Below are 17,235 nucleotides of genomic sequence, written 5' to 3' on the forward strand. Positions count from 1 at the left end.
AGTGGTCTTGGTAGCTAGTTGCCTTGTAGTCTTGATGTGTAGTTGCTTTATATGGTCTGTGGCTATGCACTTATGTGTCTTTGTGTGGTAGCAGGTATCATTCTTTTGTTTCCATGGTTGAAACTTCTGATCTGTAGAGAGTATTTACCTCTCTTCCTCTCACTTTTCTTTCCCTCCTATGGTCTTCTGGAGACCTGAAATGTCCCATTATATTGAATTTATTTAAAAACAAACTGTTTTATTGATGCTGCAAAACTGAAAACCTCCCATTTACTGCATATAGCTTAAGACAGTAAGGACTCTGAGATAGGACCCTATTTAATCATTTTCACTTCAAAGTGGATTTTAAATGTAAACAATATTTTACAAGACTCACAAGAAGAAATCAGAGTAAAAATATATCTCAGGGAATTGTACATAATTTTCATTTTCAAAATTTTGTTTTGCAACACTTTTATTTTAAAAGTACAGAATAAGGGCTCAGTTTCTTTCATAGATAATGCTGTTTTTAATTAAGAGAACTTTTCCTTATTTATTGACAAATAATGCCATTTCATATTAACGTAATAATTTTTGACTCTGTCTAATGATACATACAAATTAGACTTTTGATGTTAATTGTTAATCATCAGTACTAAATGACAACCCTCCAATTCCTTTCATAACTTTTATTATCCTTAATAACACTATTAAAATATATTTACTAGAAGTTCACGGAAGGTGTTGGTTCTGTGCAACATAGTAAATTTCAAACATCATTGTGTATATTTAAATGAAGCAATTGAAATACAAAGTGTTTAACAGACTTGGAAGAAGTCACAAAAATAATTGGCATTTGAACTCCTGAAAAAGGTCTGCTATCAGCTGGGAAATACTATCATAGTCACTCACAGAGCCAAAGTCATCTAACTCTGATGATTCAGAGTTTTCTGCTTTTCCAAAGCTTAATTCGCTTCCATTGGGATTTTTAAATTCACCTCTTAAAGTAAGAAAATAAGACTTAGAGGTCCAGACAAGGCAACTAGCACTTGCATTATACTATGCAAAAATTGACATTTTAAAAAAAAGCGCAAGTTCAAAAAAGTGTGATCTTCACATACTTGTTATTCAGCATGTAATATTAAAGAGTAAGTGGACATATATAAAGTGTAACTGTTGAGGCAACATTGAGATTCTCCAGAAGAAGATGGCATGCTCTTTCTTATATAAGTTGGACATCTGATATAAACCAAAACCTACTAGCTGACATCAGTCACATAGCTCACCTCTATTCATCATCCATCTTGGAAAGGTACTGAAAACCGTAAGACATAATTTGACATGAATGGCACTACTTCTCCAGGGATAATGGGAGATGATTTATGTGCTGAATTTGACAGTGACAAAGAGTAAATCTTTTCCATATCAAAGCAGTGTCCTCTCATCCCATGACATCTTTACCAACTTACTCAGTCCTACCAAAGTTTTGGCAATATCATAAAAATATTAATCTATTTTTGTTACTCTAATTAGAAGTTGTGTGAATAAATACTGATAAAAGATGCTACCTACACTCTACTCCAAAGAGCCCAATTATGAAAAGGTACATATAGCATATCTTTCCAACATTAAAACAACTGGTTTAAAATTAAGTAATTCAAGGTAGAAAACATGGTGACTTGTGGATAACTAACCTGATTACATTTTTTTCCCTTTCAAGTTAATAAATTTTATTTCACTCAGAACTTTGGTCATTCTCAGAACTTTGGTCATTCTTGAAAGTGGCAAGAATTGGGATTAAAAGATAAAAATCAATCATTATGTGTTGTCCTTGGTATAGATAAATTTCTAATCTCATTTGGAAGATAATACTGAGACATATGAAATAATTAGAAAACAAAAGAAGATAATATGGCTGCAAGTGCCAGATTGAGTACTACAGGAAATTCACCATTTTGATACTACTAGGCCCCATAAACCCATTCTTCTATAGTTGACCTAAACCTTTAAAATGTTTTAAGCAAAGGATTTCTGCTAAAATAATCTAGTCATATATTTGTTGTTATTTCATAACAAATGAAGATGCTAAATTAACACTGTCCCTCCAATCACACTTGAAATAACTCATCAAATAATACTTTAAAACAAGTAAACAAAAAATTTACAAGAGAAGAATTTGTATTACATATAAAACAATACCAGATACATTAGTGGAGAGAAAAAGTAACATAATCTAGATATATTCTACTGTCCAAATGTTTGTCTCTCTGTCAATAAATTCTGGTTGCTATATTCTCTGCTACTAAAAAACATGATTTCTAAATCTTAACCATAATTAACTCTAGTGGTATGAAGTGATCAGTAATTGACACCCCTTTTGCACTACTGAGTTCTGAAGCAACTGGGGATTGAAGAAGGATAAGGTAGCTGAAGAACTAAATGACAACATTATTATTGACGAAATTATTTAAGAATTTGGATTACATGTGTGTCAAAGGTGGAATTCTTAATGCTGAACCTCAGTCATAGACAGTGTATGGCAAGCTGCTGGCCTCTCTCTGTTTTAGAAGAGCCTGGCCTTCAAAGACTTAAGGCACAAAGCAGCTTAGCAAAATGGATGGTCCCTGAAGAAAGACTGAGCTTAAAGAGAAAGGGTGAACGTATTGAGTTCTGTATGCCCAATTCTTTGTCTTAAATTTACCAATTGGATAATTAACTCTTCTTTTTCTGAGTAGGAGGCACAATAAGAGGGAATGCAGAAAATCCAGGAGTTCCTTAACTGATATTTCTACACATAGACAACATTTAGGATAAAAGATTTTTCAGATATTTTGGCCCTATCCCATTCCTTATAACATTCCACGAAAAGTTAATGCAATATAAAAGCACTATGAAGAGTGGTTAAGAACTAAAGCTCTGGAACCAGACAGAGATGAGTCTGAGTCTCCACTCTGCAATCTACCGGCTGTGTAACACAAGGCAGGTTAATCATAGAGTTTCCATTTCTCCATCAGTAAATCAGTTATTTTAAGAGAATTAAGCTAGTTAAGTCATGTGAAACACCATAAGACAGATTATAGCAGACAGTATAATGAAATACTCAATGAATTTTAGTTTGAAAGACAAAAATGAGTTTGTGTAATATGATTAAAAAGATGCTTGAAAGCTTCGCCTGTCCAAATAATCTGTCCTGATGCCCTGCCATATTTCTCTAGAATTCTTATTGTCAGAATAAAATTTTTGTCTTAATTTGAGGTCGTAAATATCCAGAAGACCCTCTTTCAAATTCTTAACTCTTCAGAAAGGTAACCCAGAAGTATATAGCATCACTAGATCACAGCAGTTTTTTTTAATTGATTAGTTGGCTAGCAGAGAGTAAGTATCTGAGAGGATTAGGCATGAATATATAAAATTTTGATATGGAAGAGGTTTAGGAAAGTTTGGATGATGAGCTTGGTTGTAAATATTCTAAGAACAAGGATCAGGAAGACTTAAAATACCCAACTTTATCTTTTCTATTGCCATGCCTTGGGCTATTTCAAAATACACCAGAGATATATGTATGTCTAATGCAACTAGCTCTCCCTGAAGTACTGTAATTTGGGAGGTAATAGTATCTGATCCATCAGAAGTATTTATTAACAGCCTATTGGAGACCAGCTACTAATTATGCCTTCAAACACATTTTTCAATGATTGTTTTATATTATCTTATGCATAACTACTAAATTCTCAAATAGTTGTAAAATCTCCATCTTGTGACATAACCATACTGAATTTACTATACTTCTAAAGATGCTTATATCTGATTTTCACTGCTACTCTCCTACTTTGCTTAGCTGCCTAGAAACAGAACTGAACTTTTTATATTGTGATTAAAAACAGAACTCACACAAAGGACATGAGAATCCAACCCAGATGTTTCCTACTCCCTAATGTAATTTTTTTTCTCATTTAATTACTAGCTCCTGGTTGTTCGCTTTTCTGCCTAGTATCCATTAGTTCCAACTTGCTCAAATAACTCTTAGAAAAGAAATGAATTATTATTGTTAAATATATACTTGAAAATGCACATACTTAATAGTCATTTTTAATTGGAGTTTCTTCAATTTATTAGCTAATCCATTCTGTTTCTGATCTCTCTGTCATATAATCATAAAGGTTTCCCATCACCAGTGCCCCTTTTTAATCTCTGACTGCTTTTGTGAGCATGAATTCATTTCACTTTCCTGCTCCCTTTATCTCTTTTCTAAAATTCTTAACTTCTGCAATGGACTCTTATTTAATTCCATTTCCTCTTTCCCCCAGTTTCCAAAACAAAGTTTTCTTTACCTGGAGATCTTTGAACAGTCCTATGGGAAGCTTCACTGAATTCATCTTGATCTTTGTAATTCCTCTGAAAAAGAAAAATAAAATCTGTTATGCTTTAATTATAATCTCCCTTAGGATATGCTGTTCTTCCATAGTCAGGAAGTTTAACACTTCTTCCTAGGAAACTAGAGTCACTAGAGTGCTTAGTTCCATCAAATCTTAAAGCATTTTCCATTTGAAATTCCATTTATAACCCAATTTAAGTGGCCTTGGTTACCGGTTTCCTGTTGTCAGAGTTTCCCACATTTCCAATTAATTTCCAAGGTTAAAATTGGTTTTCTTCAAAGCCTAGAACTGACTAAGATATATTAGCTTGGCTGCATTTGCTACTCATATATCTAGATGGATTCTGCCTCCTCAAGCTCAAATGAGTGAAGGGATGTAAGTCTATAAAAGAACAACTTAAACACAGTGGTTTTACTTTAACGTGTGTTAAAAAGAACACATCTATAAAACAACACTTAGGAAATGTAGTTAGGATGTTTTGCCAAATAAAAAACATTTTGAACTGTTTTTAATGAATAGGGTGAAATGTGATACACACTTTTATGTTAAATAAATAAAAATGAATAATACAAAAGCACTAAAAATATTTTCTTAAATAAAACAGGTACTATCTCTCCAAAATATGCAATACAGCATGTATTTCCTGAAATACTCAACACACACAGTTATGTGTGTGTATACATACAAACACACATGACTTTTGTATGTACACACACACAAAGCATTTATGAGTTTAAAGACTGGTTAATTTTTTAAATTACTGTTTCTGTTTTGGGTCTCAGAAAAATAGCACCTGTTCTATTTAAACCCTCATCGTTACTTAGTTTGTTAATGCAGACAGAGTTAGTTATTTGCTCCTTTGTGATCCCATGGCACTAATAATATCTGTGAAATAGGACTTATGACATTATAACGTAATTATTTAGTCACAGCTGTCTGTAACTTCCTTAAGGGCAAAGACTGTATCACATTAATTTCTGCCACTATTCCATCTCTGGAGTCTAGCATAGTAACTGACATTTGTTAGATCTTCAGTATAAATTAAAACAAAACCTCTACATTCATTGCTTACTTTGTTAGTCTAAATTGGTGAAGTCAGTGATATGGTTTGGATCTGTGCCCCACCCAAATCTCATGTTGAGTTGTAATCCCCAGTGTGGGAGGTGGGGCCTGGTGGGAAGTGATGAGATCATGGGAGTGGATTTCTCATAAATGGTTTAGCACTATTACCCCTTGGTTCTGTACACTGAGTGACTTCTCATGAGCTCTGGTTGCTTATAAGTAGGTAACATCCCCCCCTTGGTCCTGCTCCTGCCGTGTAAGATGCCTGCTCCTGTTTTTACTTATGCCAGGAGTAAAAGCTCCTTGAGGCCTCCCAAGAAGTAGATGCTGCTGTGCTTCCTGCACAGCCTACAGAACCATGAGCCAATTCAGCTTCTCTTCTTTATAAATTACCTGTTTCTGTTATTTCTTCATACCAAAGTGTAAATGGACTAATCAGAAAATTGGTACTGTATTGAAAAATTGGAGTGGGGTATTGCTATAAAGATACCTGAAAATGTAGAAGCAACTTTGGAACTAGGTAAAGGACAGAGACAGAGGTTGGAACACTGTGGAGGGCTCAGAAGAAGACAGGAAGAGGAGGGAAAATTTGGAACTCCCTAGGGACTGGTTAAAGGACTAAAATAAAGGCTGATGAGGTATCAGATGGAGATGAGGAACTTATTGGGGACTGGAGCAATGGTCACTTTTGTACTGTGTTACCAAAGAAACTGGCAGCATTGTGTCCCTTTCCTAGAGATCTGAGGAACTTGAACTTAAGAGTGATGATTTAGGGTATCTGGTGAAAGAAATTTCTAAACAGTAAAGCATTCAATAAGTGGCCTGGCTGCATCTAACAACATATGCTCATATGTGTGAGCAAAGAAATGACATAAGTAGAGGGATGGCCTTATCTCTGACTGACCTCTATCTATAATATATCATTACTGACTGCATATAAGGCCTTTTTGAGCTGGGAAAGTAGTGGGTCTCAGAATACAATAACAGCTCCTATCTCATTTTCAGACTTTCAGATTCCATGAGAAAAACGAAGCCTTCCTTGAGCTTTCACTCAAAGCAAAAAAGAAGAGTGGCTATATTACTGCCACTATTTTGGCCACAAATGGGACATTTTTCTGCCTTTGTCTAGCCTAAAAGAAAAGAAATAGAGAACAAGTGAGTGGTGGGGTGGGGAATGGTGTGAAACACAGTTCTCTGAGAAATGCTCAGGGATAAATGGACACTATTATGGAGATGTCAGGGCAGGCATTGAATCAACTCCTGTGTCTAGAAAGGAACTAAAGTGAAGCCATGTTTGGCTAGCCTGCATGTTGTCAGTGGCAAGCACATCACTTGGTACAAGGCACACCAGACAAACACACACACACACACACACACACACACACACACACACACACCAGTTCTTTTGCTTCCAACTCTTTAACGTGTCTCAAATCCATCTACTTTTCTCCATGTTCACTATTGACATCCCAGTTCAGGCACCATAATCCCTAACCTGGGCCATTGCAGGAGCATCCTAACTCTCTGCCTGCCTCTGATCTCGCCAAAATGAACTTGTAAACTCCTTTCCCTGACCCAGTCTAAAACTTTTAATGGTCCACTTGAGGAGATATGGAGTGTATCCAAGTCACTGCCTCCAGTTGATTCTGGAGAAAGAGAACATATCTTCTCCACTGAGGATTATGTGATGTTAGTTTTCAAATTATTCTGTTACAAAGTAGAAGGTAACGTAAAAAGAAGGATAGTTTTTTTAATAGCATATTGTGGCACTTTCAGTGCCTCAGCTGTGCTACTATGTAAGTACCCAGCTGAATGGCGCTAGGACACAACAGGAGATTAGGAAGTCCACTGAAACAACAATAACACCTAAACGTGTATTTCCTCACTCAAAGAAGTCCACGTTAGAAACTGACATAAAGGAAAGCAAGAGTGAATGAAATTTGAATATCATTGCTCCTTCTGTTCAGAGGCTGGAAAGATTTGGGGAAATGCAAGTAAATTAAGTATGTATACTACTTAATCTAATAACTGTATTAACATAGCTGATGTTTCAATTTATATAAAGGGTCACCTGTTAGACTCATCTGTTTGAATCTGCAGATTGGAAAAAAGGGGACATCTTAAGGATAGGGAGTATGATATTTCTTTGAAACTCTGGAGACTAGAATGATTTCTATTTACACTTAAGTAATTAGATCTTGAAGAAATTGAATGAAAACTATTGCTAAAATTAGTAGTATTTGGCATAATGTTCCCACCAATGAACTACCCAGCTTCAGACTGTTTATTTCTTCTCAGCCATATTGAAACAAACTGTATTTCAATTTAATCTGGTAAAGTTCAGTCTTTGAAACAAAACCTGTACATCTTCGCTTCAAAATTTGCACTTATTGATGTTACTATGCATACTGGCTCTTTAATCTCTTGCAGTTTTACACTTATAAAATAAAACAAGAAGATCTAAGAAAGAAAAAACACAGTCTTTCCAGTTTAAACAAGCAGTCAAATGAAAGACATGTAACTCTAGGGAGCATACCATAATTATTGTCCAAGATCAGAGATTCTTGATAAATTGACTTTCTGAATGTGCAGCAGCATAAATTGAATGAACATTGTCTTGAAAATTGAAGATTAAAACAGGAGCTTACACCCAGAGAAGATACCCATTGAGAGGTAGTAAATAGCCATCTCTACACGTTCGGGGACTTCAATAACATTCCTTCAGTAGCTATAATACCACAAAGAGTATCTTCATTCATGGATGCAAAATTTCTTTAGACAGAATATAAAATCATTATTAAAAATAAAACAAAAATGTTGGTATTATACAGTAAATTGATGTGGCAAATTATTATCTAACAATTGAAATATAATTATTTGTAAATATTTTTATTTTATTTTAGATTGAGGGGGTATGTGTGCATGTTTGTTACATGGATATAATGCATACTGGTGGGAATTGGGCTTCCAGTGTACCCATTACCCAAAGAGTGAACATTGTACCCAATAGATGATTTTTTCACCTCACAGGGTTGCGGGGGAATGGCCTATACAATTTGTCGCAATAAATGTAGATTCTTCAAGAAACATCGTACAACATTCAGAAAGATAGCTTACTTAAGTTGGTCCAAGAAAGATTTTAGAGACATGGAGAAGCTTCTTATATCAGATTTTAGAAAATCCCATTACAAGAAAGCTGTTAAAAATAAAGTCTAAGGGGCAATTAGGCAAGTTACAATAGTATCAAACATATTCATACTCTTTGACCAAGTAGTAAAAAAAATTTCTGTGAATTAACTCTAAATGTATAAATATATACACAATGATTTATGTAGAATAATGTTAATAATCATGACTAACACAATTCCTGTAAAAATTGAAAATACGTTGTGGATATTTGAAGTCCTACATTATGCATGTAAAGAAAATAACTCATAAAATTTGATTTATAATGGTTAAGGTGAAACCATTACTACCCATGACTATTGAGGCCTAGAGAACCTTGGAATTAGAGAGAGAATACTGTGAATCCTTAAATTTTCAAATTTTAGAAGGATATTTAATGATATGGGAAATTTCTCAGAACATATTTGTATATGGCTAGAAAGATATACAGTTGTCCCTCTATTTTAGAGGGGAATTGGTGCCAGGACCCCCATGGAAATCAAAATTCATGGATGCTCACGTTCCTTAAATAAATGATACAGTATTTGTGTATAACCTACACACATTAGCCTGTACACTTTAAATCATCTCTAGGTTAATTATAATACTTAAAACAATGTAAATGCTATGTTAATAGTTGTTATACTATATTGTTTTTAATTTGTATTATTTTATTGTTGTATAGTTTTTTTGTTTATTTTTCTAATATTTTCAATCCTTGGTTGGTTGAATCCATGGATGCTGAACCCATAGATAGAGATGGCTGAGTGTATATCAACATGTTAATAAGTCACCTCTGGATAGTAATAATAAAAGAGAATTTCCCCTTTTATAGTTTCTGTTTTTTTCATACAAGTTTGTGGTAACTAAAATTTCCTAATATTTTCCTTCGTGCTTCATTTACTCATAATTTTACAGTATATTGACTCTATTCTTTGCTACATCTAGGGATATTATCATGTAATAGATACCATTTCATGTTCCTAACAAGCCCAAATACGTTCTTATTCTAAGAGCAATGCTCCTCTATTCCATGTTAATGTTACATGACACTGTCATCCTGACCATATGTAATTGGACAAGGTTGAATATTGCACAAAAATTGCACCAATCAGATTACCTCTCTCTCTAGAATTTGAAATGGGAGTTGTGAGGTTTCATTTCACTCAGACTTGTCACTTGAACCGAGGTACAATAAACTTATCAATGTGGGGTTGATAAGATTGTTTACATGCAAGCTGAAGCAGAGAAAGGCTCTCTGTAGTGAGAGAAAATAGAAGGAAAGACAAAGGAGGGGAGGTAATGTCAGTGAAAATGGTGGAGTATGGAGCTCTGAAAATTCTCTCCTTTGCAAAAGCAATGAGAACACTTGCAAAAAAAAAAAAAGGTGGCATAACCAGTAATTTCAGAACTCTGTAAATTAACCAGATCCTTGTAGCAATTTAGGTAGTGTTTATTCAAGAAAAATAGCTGAATCTCAATAAGAACAGCAAGCTTAATTTGCTATTCTTTAAATTGCCTTATCCTATAACCTCCTACCAAAATCCATACTAGCTCTAAGAAAAAAATCTCTCATTATGGTGAAAACCAGAAATTTGGCAACATGTAGAGACGATAGAATGGGTTAGGAGCTCCTTAAAAGACAAATTACCAGAAAAGCGTAATTACTTTTGGGGGTTATTTGGAGGACACCATTTATGAGACTTTCCTTATGTGACCAGATTTGAAGCTTGCTCAGTGCAAACATAATTTTTTTCTGGGGATTTCTGTTGGAAAAAAATCATCAGACACAGTTGTTGAACATCTCAGCTGAGGCAGTGGATAAGAGATGGTGCATACACTAGGCTAACCAAAAACTTCAAAGGAGAAGCTGGAGAATGAGATGTGCATGGGGTTTGAAAATCTCTGACATATTCCTGGGAATCTAGAAGGCCGCACACATGACCAGGGCTGTTTACATGTGTAAAGTTGTGCACATGCCCAAGAAAGACCTAAACTCTCACTTCAGGCTTACCTTTAGTCTCTGAACTAACAGGAAATGAAGGGTAAGGCAGAATTGTAAACTGACCGGCTGAGTATAAAAAGCATGCCCCAACATACACACACACACACACACACACACACACACACACACACACACCCCGTTGGCAAAGAATGGCAGACATATTGGTACCAGGCATTTAAGGAAACCTCTGTCTAATCATTATCTGACCACTAAGCAAACTGTATAGAGACTTCCGTGGCCACAAAGAACAAACAATACAGACTTCACATAATTAGTTGAGAAAAGATAATAAATGAAAAAACTTGTCATAGAAATATAAGGGTCAATTCAAGTTTCCCTATTCATATCATATTCTGCGTGAATCATGAGAAACACTTTAACTTCTTGATTTCTTTTTTTCTTTTTTCTTTTTTTTTTTTTTTTTTTTTTTGAGATGGAGTCTTGCTCTGTCACCAGGCTGGAGTGCAGTGGTGCAATCTCAGCTCACTGCAGCCTCAGACTCTCTGGTTCAAGCGATTCTCCTGCCTCAGCCTCCTGAATAGCTGGAATTACAGGTACATGCCAACATGCCCAGTTAATTTTTGTATTTTTAGTAGAAACGGGGTTTCACCATGTTGGCCAGGATGGTCTCGATCTCCCGACCTCGTGATCCGCCTGCCTCAACCTCCCAAAGTGCTGGGATTACAGGCATGAGCCACTGCACCTGGCCTAACTTCTTGATTTCTACATGAAATAGAAGTGTTAGTATTGAAGGAACAATGCATGATATTTTCACCAAGCACTGATCTCAGTGAATATTTATGCATCCTCCAAGCAACACAGACGAATTTACAACAAATATCATGTATATATATTTGTATAAATTATTTTTATTCACAGTATAACAATTATAAGCACATATCAGTTATAATGACTGAAACATATACATAGTATTACTATAGTTTATATGTGCTACATATTTTTATTTAAGATATTTAAAATAAACTAAATACTGGCAAATAGCATTCACTCTTTTTTAAGTGTGTTAGGTTTTTCACCCCAAAACAATTTTTAAGATTTTAATCAAAAAGACCATGTCTTGAGCTTTATTTCCAAATTTGCTTCCTCCATAGCGCCTAATACAATACTGATGTATAACTTTAAATAAAAATGAGTTGGTGATTAATTATATAACCTTCTTAATGACATATCAGAATTCCAATGATAGAATAAGTGAAGACAGGTTTATTGTATGGATATAACAGACAATCTTACAGACATCCAAGGACTGAGCTCTAATTACTAACTGGCTATGCTGGGACTGAAACTGAAGTCAGGAACTGAAAACATTTTTCCTGTCTCTTGTGGGTCATAAGTTACCTTGTCTTTGTTTCTATCTGTGTATATACTTTATTCCCCAATTTCTCATTACAGACCTATGTTTTCACTCATGGATCTCTGATACTCCATACTTTCAGTCTTACTATGGCTTAGACTTGGAGCTGTCAGATTCCAAATTTGACTGGAAATTTGCCAGTCAAAATTTCATTTGGTCTTTTTCTTCAAATGCCCTTTGCTTAATTGTCCTACTCACTCAGTACTTCATTCCAAATAAGAAAAAATGAGAAAGCACTCATTATTTAATAGGTCCACCTTTGTCCAGGTATTCATCTCTAATCCAATCAGCCAAAGGCCAGAGTTTGGAATCATATTGATAACTTTTAATTAGGAATTATGGGTGAAGCAAGTTCTCTGAGAAGGGTTTTGTTAAGAAATCCGTGATTTTCACATCTAATATATTAATAGATTTGCTATTTCTGAAATATGATATACACATAAATCCTGACTAATTTAGGAAACTGCAAAGAATCATTACATTTTGGAGTAAGAAGACACATTTCTCATGTTTCAAATTAGAAAACCAAGGACTAATGAAATTATGTGACTTGTTTAAGTCATATAGTTGGCAATGGTCACACCTATGAGTAGAATCTAGGTTACCTGAGTCCTCATCAAGTATTTTTTCTAATGTAGCTTACCATAGTGAAATAAATTTGAATGGTCAATGTATTAGTCCGCTCTCATGCTGGTAATAAAGACATAACCAAGACTGGGTAATTTACAAAGGAAAGAGGTTTAATTGACTCAGAGTTCAGCATGGCTGGAGAGGCCTCAGGAAATTTATAATCACGGTGGACAGGGAAGCAAACATGTCCTTCTTCACATGGTAGCAGCAAAAAGTGCAGAGCAAAAGGAGAAAAAGCCCCTTATAAAACCATAGATGTCGTGAGAACTCACTCACTATCATGAGAACAGCAGCATGGGGGTAACCGCTCCCATGATTCAGTTACCTCCCACTGGTTCCTCCCAGGACAAGGGGATTATGGAAACTACAATTCAAGATGAGATTTGGGAGGGGACACAGCCAAACCATATCAGTCAGTTTGAGTTGACAAAATATTTGTAAAGAAATGCAGTTACGTTATCTCAAGTAGGCATGCTAATATAAATGAGCCTAAAGGAGTATTGTACAGTTGGTTCCTAGGAAACCTGTTTCAAAGTACAGGTAAAAATTCGTAATAAGAAGCACTCCAAGTTTTGATTTCAAATAACTATTTAAAATTTTTTCAAAGAAACTTGTTTTACTAAGCAAGGTAAACAGTGCCATTCTAATCTTTGGTTCTATATTCGTTTGCTCAGAAACCCTTTTATTTCTCCAAATATAAAGAGAAAGTATGTTACCACACAATATTAGTTTAAATGGTTGCAAATGCTAGAATCCAAATTAAGAAATTTTAACTGTTTATCTCATAAGACATTGTGCCACAAAGTAGTATGAAAAGCAAACAAATTGATATTCTGCAAACACAGGCTGTTATCTATGTATAAATTATAAATGTAATAATAAACCAGGGAGAAACATGTAGTTAAAGTAAGCACAAAACAGTTGTGCAATAAGTATGTATAATACTAATGGCATTAAAACTACATATATTTACATGTCCTATAAATGACACGCTCAAATATTCAGTTGTTTTGCATGCAACATCCACGCTCCGCAAGTAGAAAATAGAAATTTCCTTTGTGTGGTATTTTCTCTCCTTTTTAGGAATCAGGCTAGTAGTGTCAGAAATGTTCTTAATAAAGTGGCTTGACTATAAAGTCTATTTCCAGATGACTGAATATTTTGTCCATACCACGAGATCAAGATTCTAATTTGTGACCTAACAATTTAACCAACAAACAGTTTAAGTCTTTTAATGAGATGACAAGGACTTGCTTATGAAGCCAATTGCCATTTTCCTTGCTCTATCATAGGAAGCAATGCTCGATTACTACAGCTCAAAGTCGGCTTACTTTAAAGCCTATAGGAGTCTCCTATAATCAATCAGTTCACATTATGGTAGGGGCAAGTAGCTCTTCTGTCATCAAAAATAAAACAGAATACCCTCCACCCATGGCACCATATAATGTCCCCAACTTGGATTTACGAATGTTATTAAAATATTGTCTATGAATGAGGATGATCATGTGTGAAAATTAGAAAAGGTGAATTTATTGAAGTAAAGACATAAGTCTATCTCTGTAAATAGCCAATATGGAAGGAAAACACATTAAATTTATCAGTATTACGAAGCTGAAGCATAAGGTGAAAGGTGTATGGAAATAATGCTCACTGAAAAGTTATTCGAACTATCAAATAAGAGCCACACTGTAAATTCTGGAGAACTAGATTACCAGACTACACAGAACATGGGTTGGGAGGCCTTTAAGGGTAAATGGGAATGATAGGATCCTCATTAAAGTTGGAGATTTTCAAATGGAACAATTGATAATGCCTTTGAATTATTAATTCCAAATGGGACAATTGATAACGCCTTCAATTATCAACTCCGAAATGGAAGAGTTCCATAGACTTCCCTTATATAAAAAGCATAGTCTTCACTATCTTCCTATCTTTCCAATAGTTGTCCAGAAATGTTCTACACAAGAGTCTCCTTCTCTCACCAATGCTAAGCAAGGCAGTACTGTGTTCTTTTCTCTCTCTCTCTCCTCTATCCTCATTCACCTAATTTTAACCTGCACCGGGGTAGGTTAACACAAAAGACTCTTGGAGATTGAAGAATTACAATTCTCAATCACTGACTAGTTTTCAATCTCCATTCTGTTCCTAATTAAAATAATCTATAACAGGCTACATAAGTAATATTAACTAACATTCTGATATTTTATTCCAAAGCAATAAAATTAGACCCTTGTTCTAGAGCCTTTGATAATAAAACAGAAACAACAGAGTACTTAAAGCTGGTAGTTTATAGACTAATCTGGAAAGAAAAATCAACAATATTTGAAAAGCTCGAGGAATTTTAACAAATGGAAACTAATGCCGCTGAAAGGAAATGCAAATACAAGGGCTTAGGAGTTTCGAAAACAAAGAAGTGAAGATGGTGGTTGTAGGGAATAAAGAGTGGAGGCAGCAATAGGTCAGTGCTAACCAGGCAATATTCATAGAGAGGTTTAGTCTAAATCTCAACTTTCAGGGGATAATTTGTCATTATTCAGAGACAGAAATGAACAAGCCTACAGGATTTACATATTTTTAAATTGCTTTTTATTGAATTGACCAGGATCTCTAGGATCTATAAGGTTTTTGTTAACATTATCTGGAAACCTGCCTCTACATCCCTTCATTTTCTCTCTGAAGTTTGGTCTGGGTAGGCTCCAGACTAACTTGGTCTAGAAGTCCCATTGTCCCTTTCTTATTACTTAGAATTGTTTTTTTTAAACTGACTCAAATAATTCCAAGGGGATGGAGTCAAATGAGACTATTAGCTTTTCTGAGAAGCCATTTGCCAATATTTCAGAAGCCCATAAAATGGTCCTGCAATAGGTCTATGTAGAGGATATTTCTCATACCTCAGACCTTTTTTCTTTTGTTCAGTCTCCCTCTACTACACACACTTTTCTCCTAGAAACTAAAAATATATCACTGTTTTTCTAACTTTTTATTTGTGGTCTTCCTGTTGTAAATCATAAAAAGAACAAAAAAGCATAAATCTGTGATATATAGCATATTTTTGAATAAAAAACAACAACAAAAACCTCCTCTATCTAATCCTTACAATCCTCTTCCCCAAAGGCGTTAATTAAGGATACACAGGGAAAGGCAGAAAATATTGTTCATTTCCCATAAGAACCCAAACTTTGATCTTCCTCTGATAGGCCAGCCCTAAAGGCATTAACTCAACAAATGCCAACAAGGAGACTGAGTCAGAAATAAAACACCTTCCTCAGGCTCATCTCTCCTTTCTGTGTGAAACTTTCACTTCACAGTTATTAATCAGTGCAGTTATAGGGAAATTCTGTTGCAAAGTGACCTAAACCAATTTGATCATGCACAACTCTTAGGTTCTGTTTAGTAGATAAGAATTGTCATTAAGGAAGCTTGAGGTGAGCCAGGTTTATCCACTTTTCTTCAATTTCACTGTCAGGTTATAATGAAAGTAAGTCTCAGACCAAATTCTGCCACATATACATGAATTAAACACTCCCTATCAAACAGGCACTAAATCAATCACAAATCTGTTCTCTAAGCTTAATAAAGGCTTAGCTCTTTGCCCTATTAGTTGCTTCTACCACTACATTGCATGAAAGGAAACTAAAGGAAGACACAATACTACTCTAGAAGCATAACATTATTGTCTTTATAGTTGACCTCAGGCAACTAGAAATCTTCTAAGTACACTAGAAATCTTCCAAGTCCACGAAAAACGGCTGTTCAAACTGAGATCAACTTGACAGTAATGCCTCACTACATACTAAAACCTTTTCATCAAGTTGGGAGAGAGACTCTAAAATGCTTTAGCTGATACTCATATTTGTATCTTCAATGCCTTTCATTTCTCTAGAAAGAGCCCCTTTCTAACAATACAGCATACTAATTAACAAGGAACAAATTTCACCAATAAAAGCCTATTTTCTGACATTTTGTATGCTAATCATCAAAAGCCTCAGATGTTAATAGAAATAGAATAACAGAAGTACTTGAAAAACCTGGCTCTGAAGTCTGGTCTTTCTGAAAGAAGCTGGTTACCAGTCTCTGAAATGTAGATTATCCCTGCCATAATATCAATGATCATTAATAACCTGTTTAATCTAAACAACCAGCTGCTCCTAAAATTGAAGTTTAACCTGAACAAAATATACATAATATCACACTGTCTGTTCTGACATAAATAATGAATTATGAACATCATGATATTCAGCTGACATAGAAATGGCAGACTGTGTTAAAAACTAGATTAGTACCCCCTTTGATAAAGGGAAAAAAGGTTGATCTCAAGACTCAACTTGAGCAGGGTTTGGGGTAGTAAACCTTAAGATCCTTTCAAACCCTTGATTCCAGTGTGAAATCACTGCTCTGAAACTGTATTTTGAGCTATGTTGTCAGGAACTTTTCAGTGGCTCTGGAAAGATAAGAATTCAAGTATTTCTTCAAATAGAGCTCCCTCATTCCACTTTCAGGAGGGTGAATTTGAGTCTTTATTTCAGTGTCAGAGATGGGTACATGTTGATTCTGCAAAAGTGTTTGGATTCTGGGTGTTGTTGCTGTTTTATTATGATTGGCATTTTGGAGGTCTCTATACTATCAATGAGTTAAAAACTACA

At 34.9% G+C, this 17,235-nt stretch overlaps 1 long non-coding RNA gene across 1 annotated transcript in view; it reads right to left on the reverse strand.

The window, feature by feature from the left end:
* The window catches only part of LOC107985698 (uncharacterized), a 375,495-nt gene that overhangs the window by 9,802 nt on the left and 348,458 nt on the right, over positions 1-17,235 (reverse strand). The window contains exon 6 of the long non-coding RNA XR_002958819.2: positions 4,311-4,374. This is a non-coding gene — a long non-coding RNA (uncharacterized LOC107985698). The remainder of the gene's footprint in view (positions 1-4,310; positions 4,375-17,235) is intronic.

The sequence above is a fragment of the Homo sapiens genome, chromosome X (genome assembly GCF_000001405.40).
Source record: "Homo sapiens chromosome X, GRCh38.p14 Primary Assembly".
NCBI lineage: Eukaryota > Metazoa > Chordata > Mammalia > Primates > Hominidae > Homo > Homo sapiens.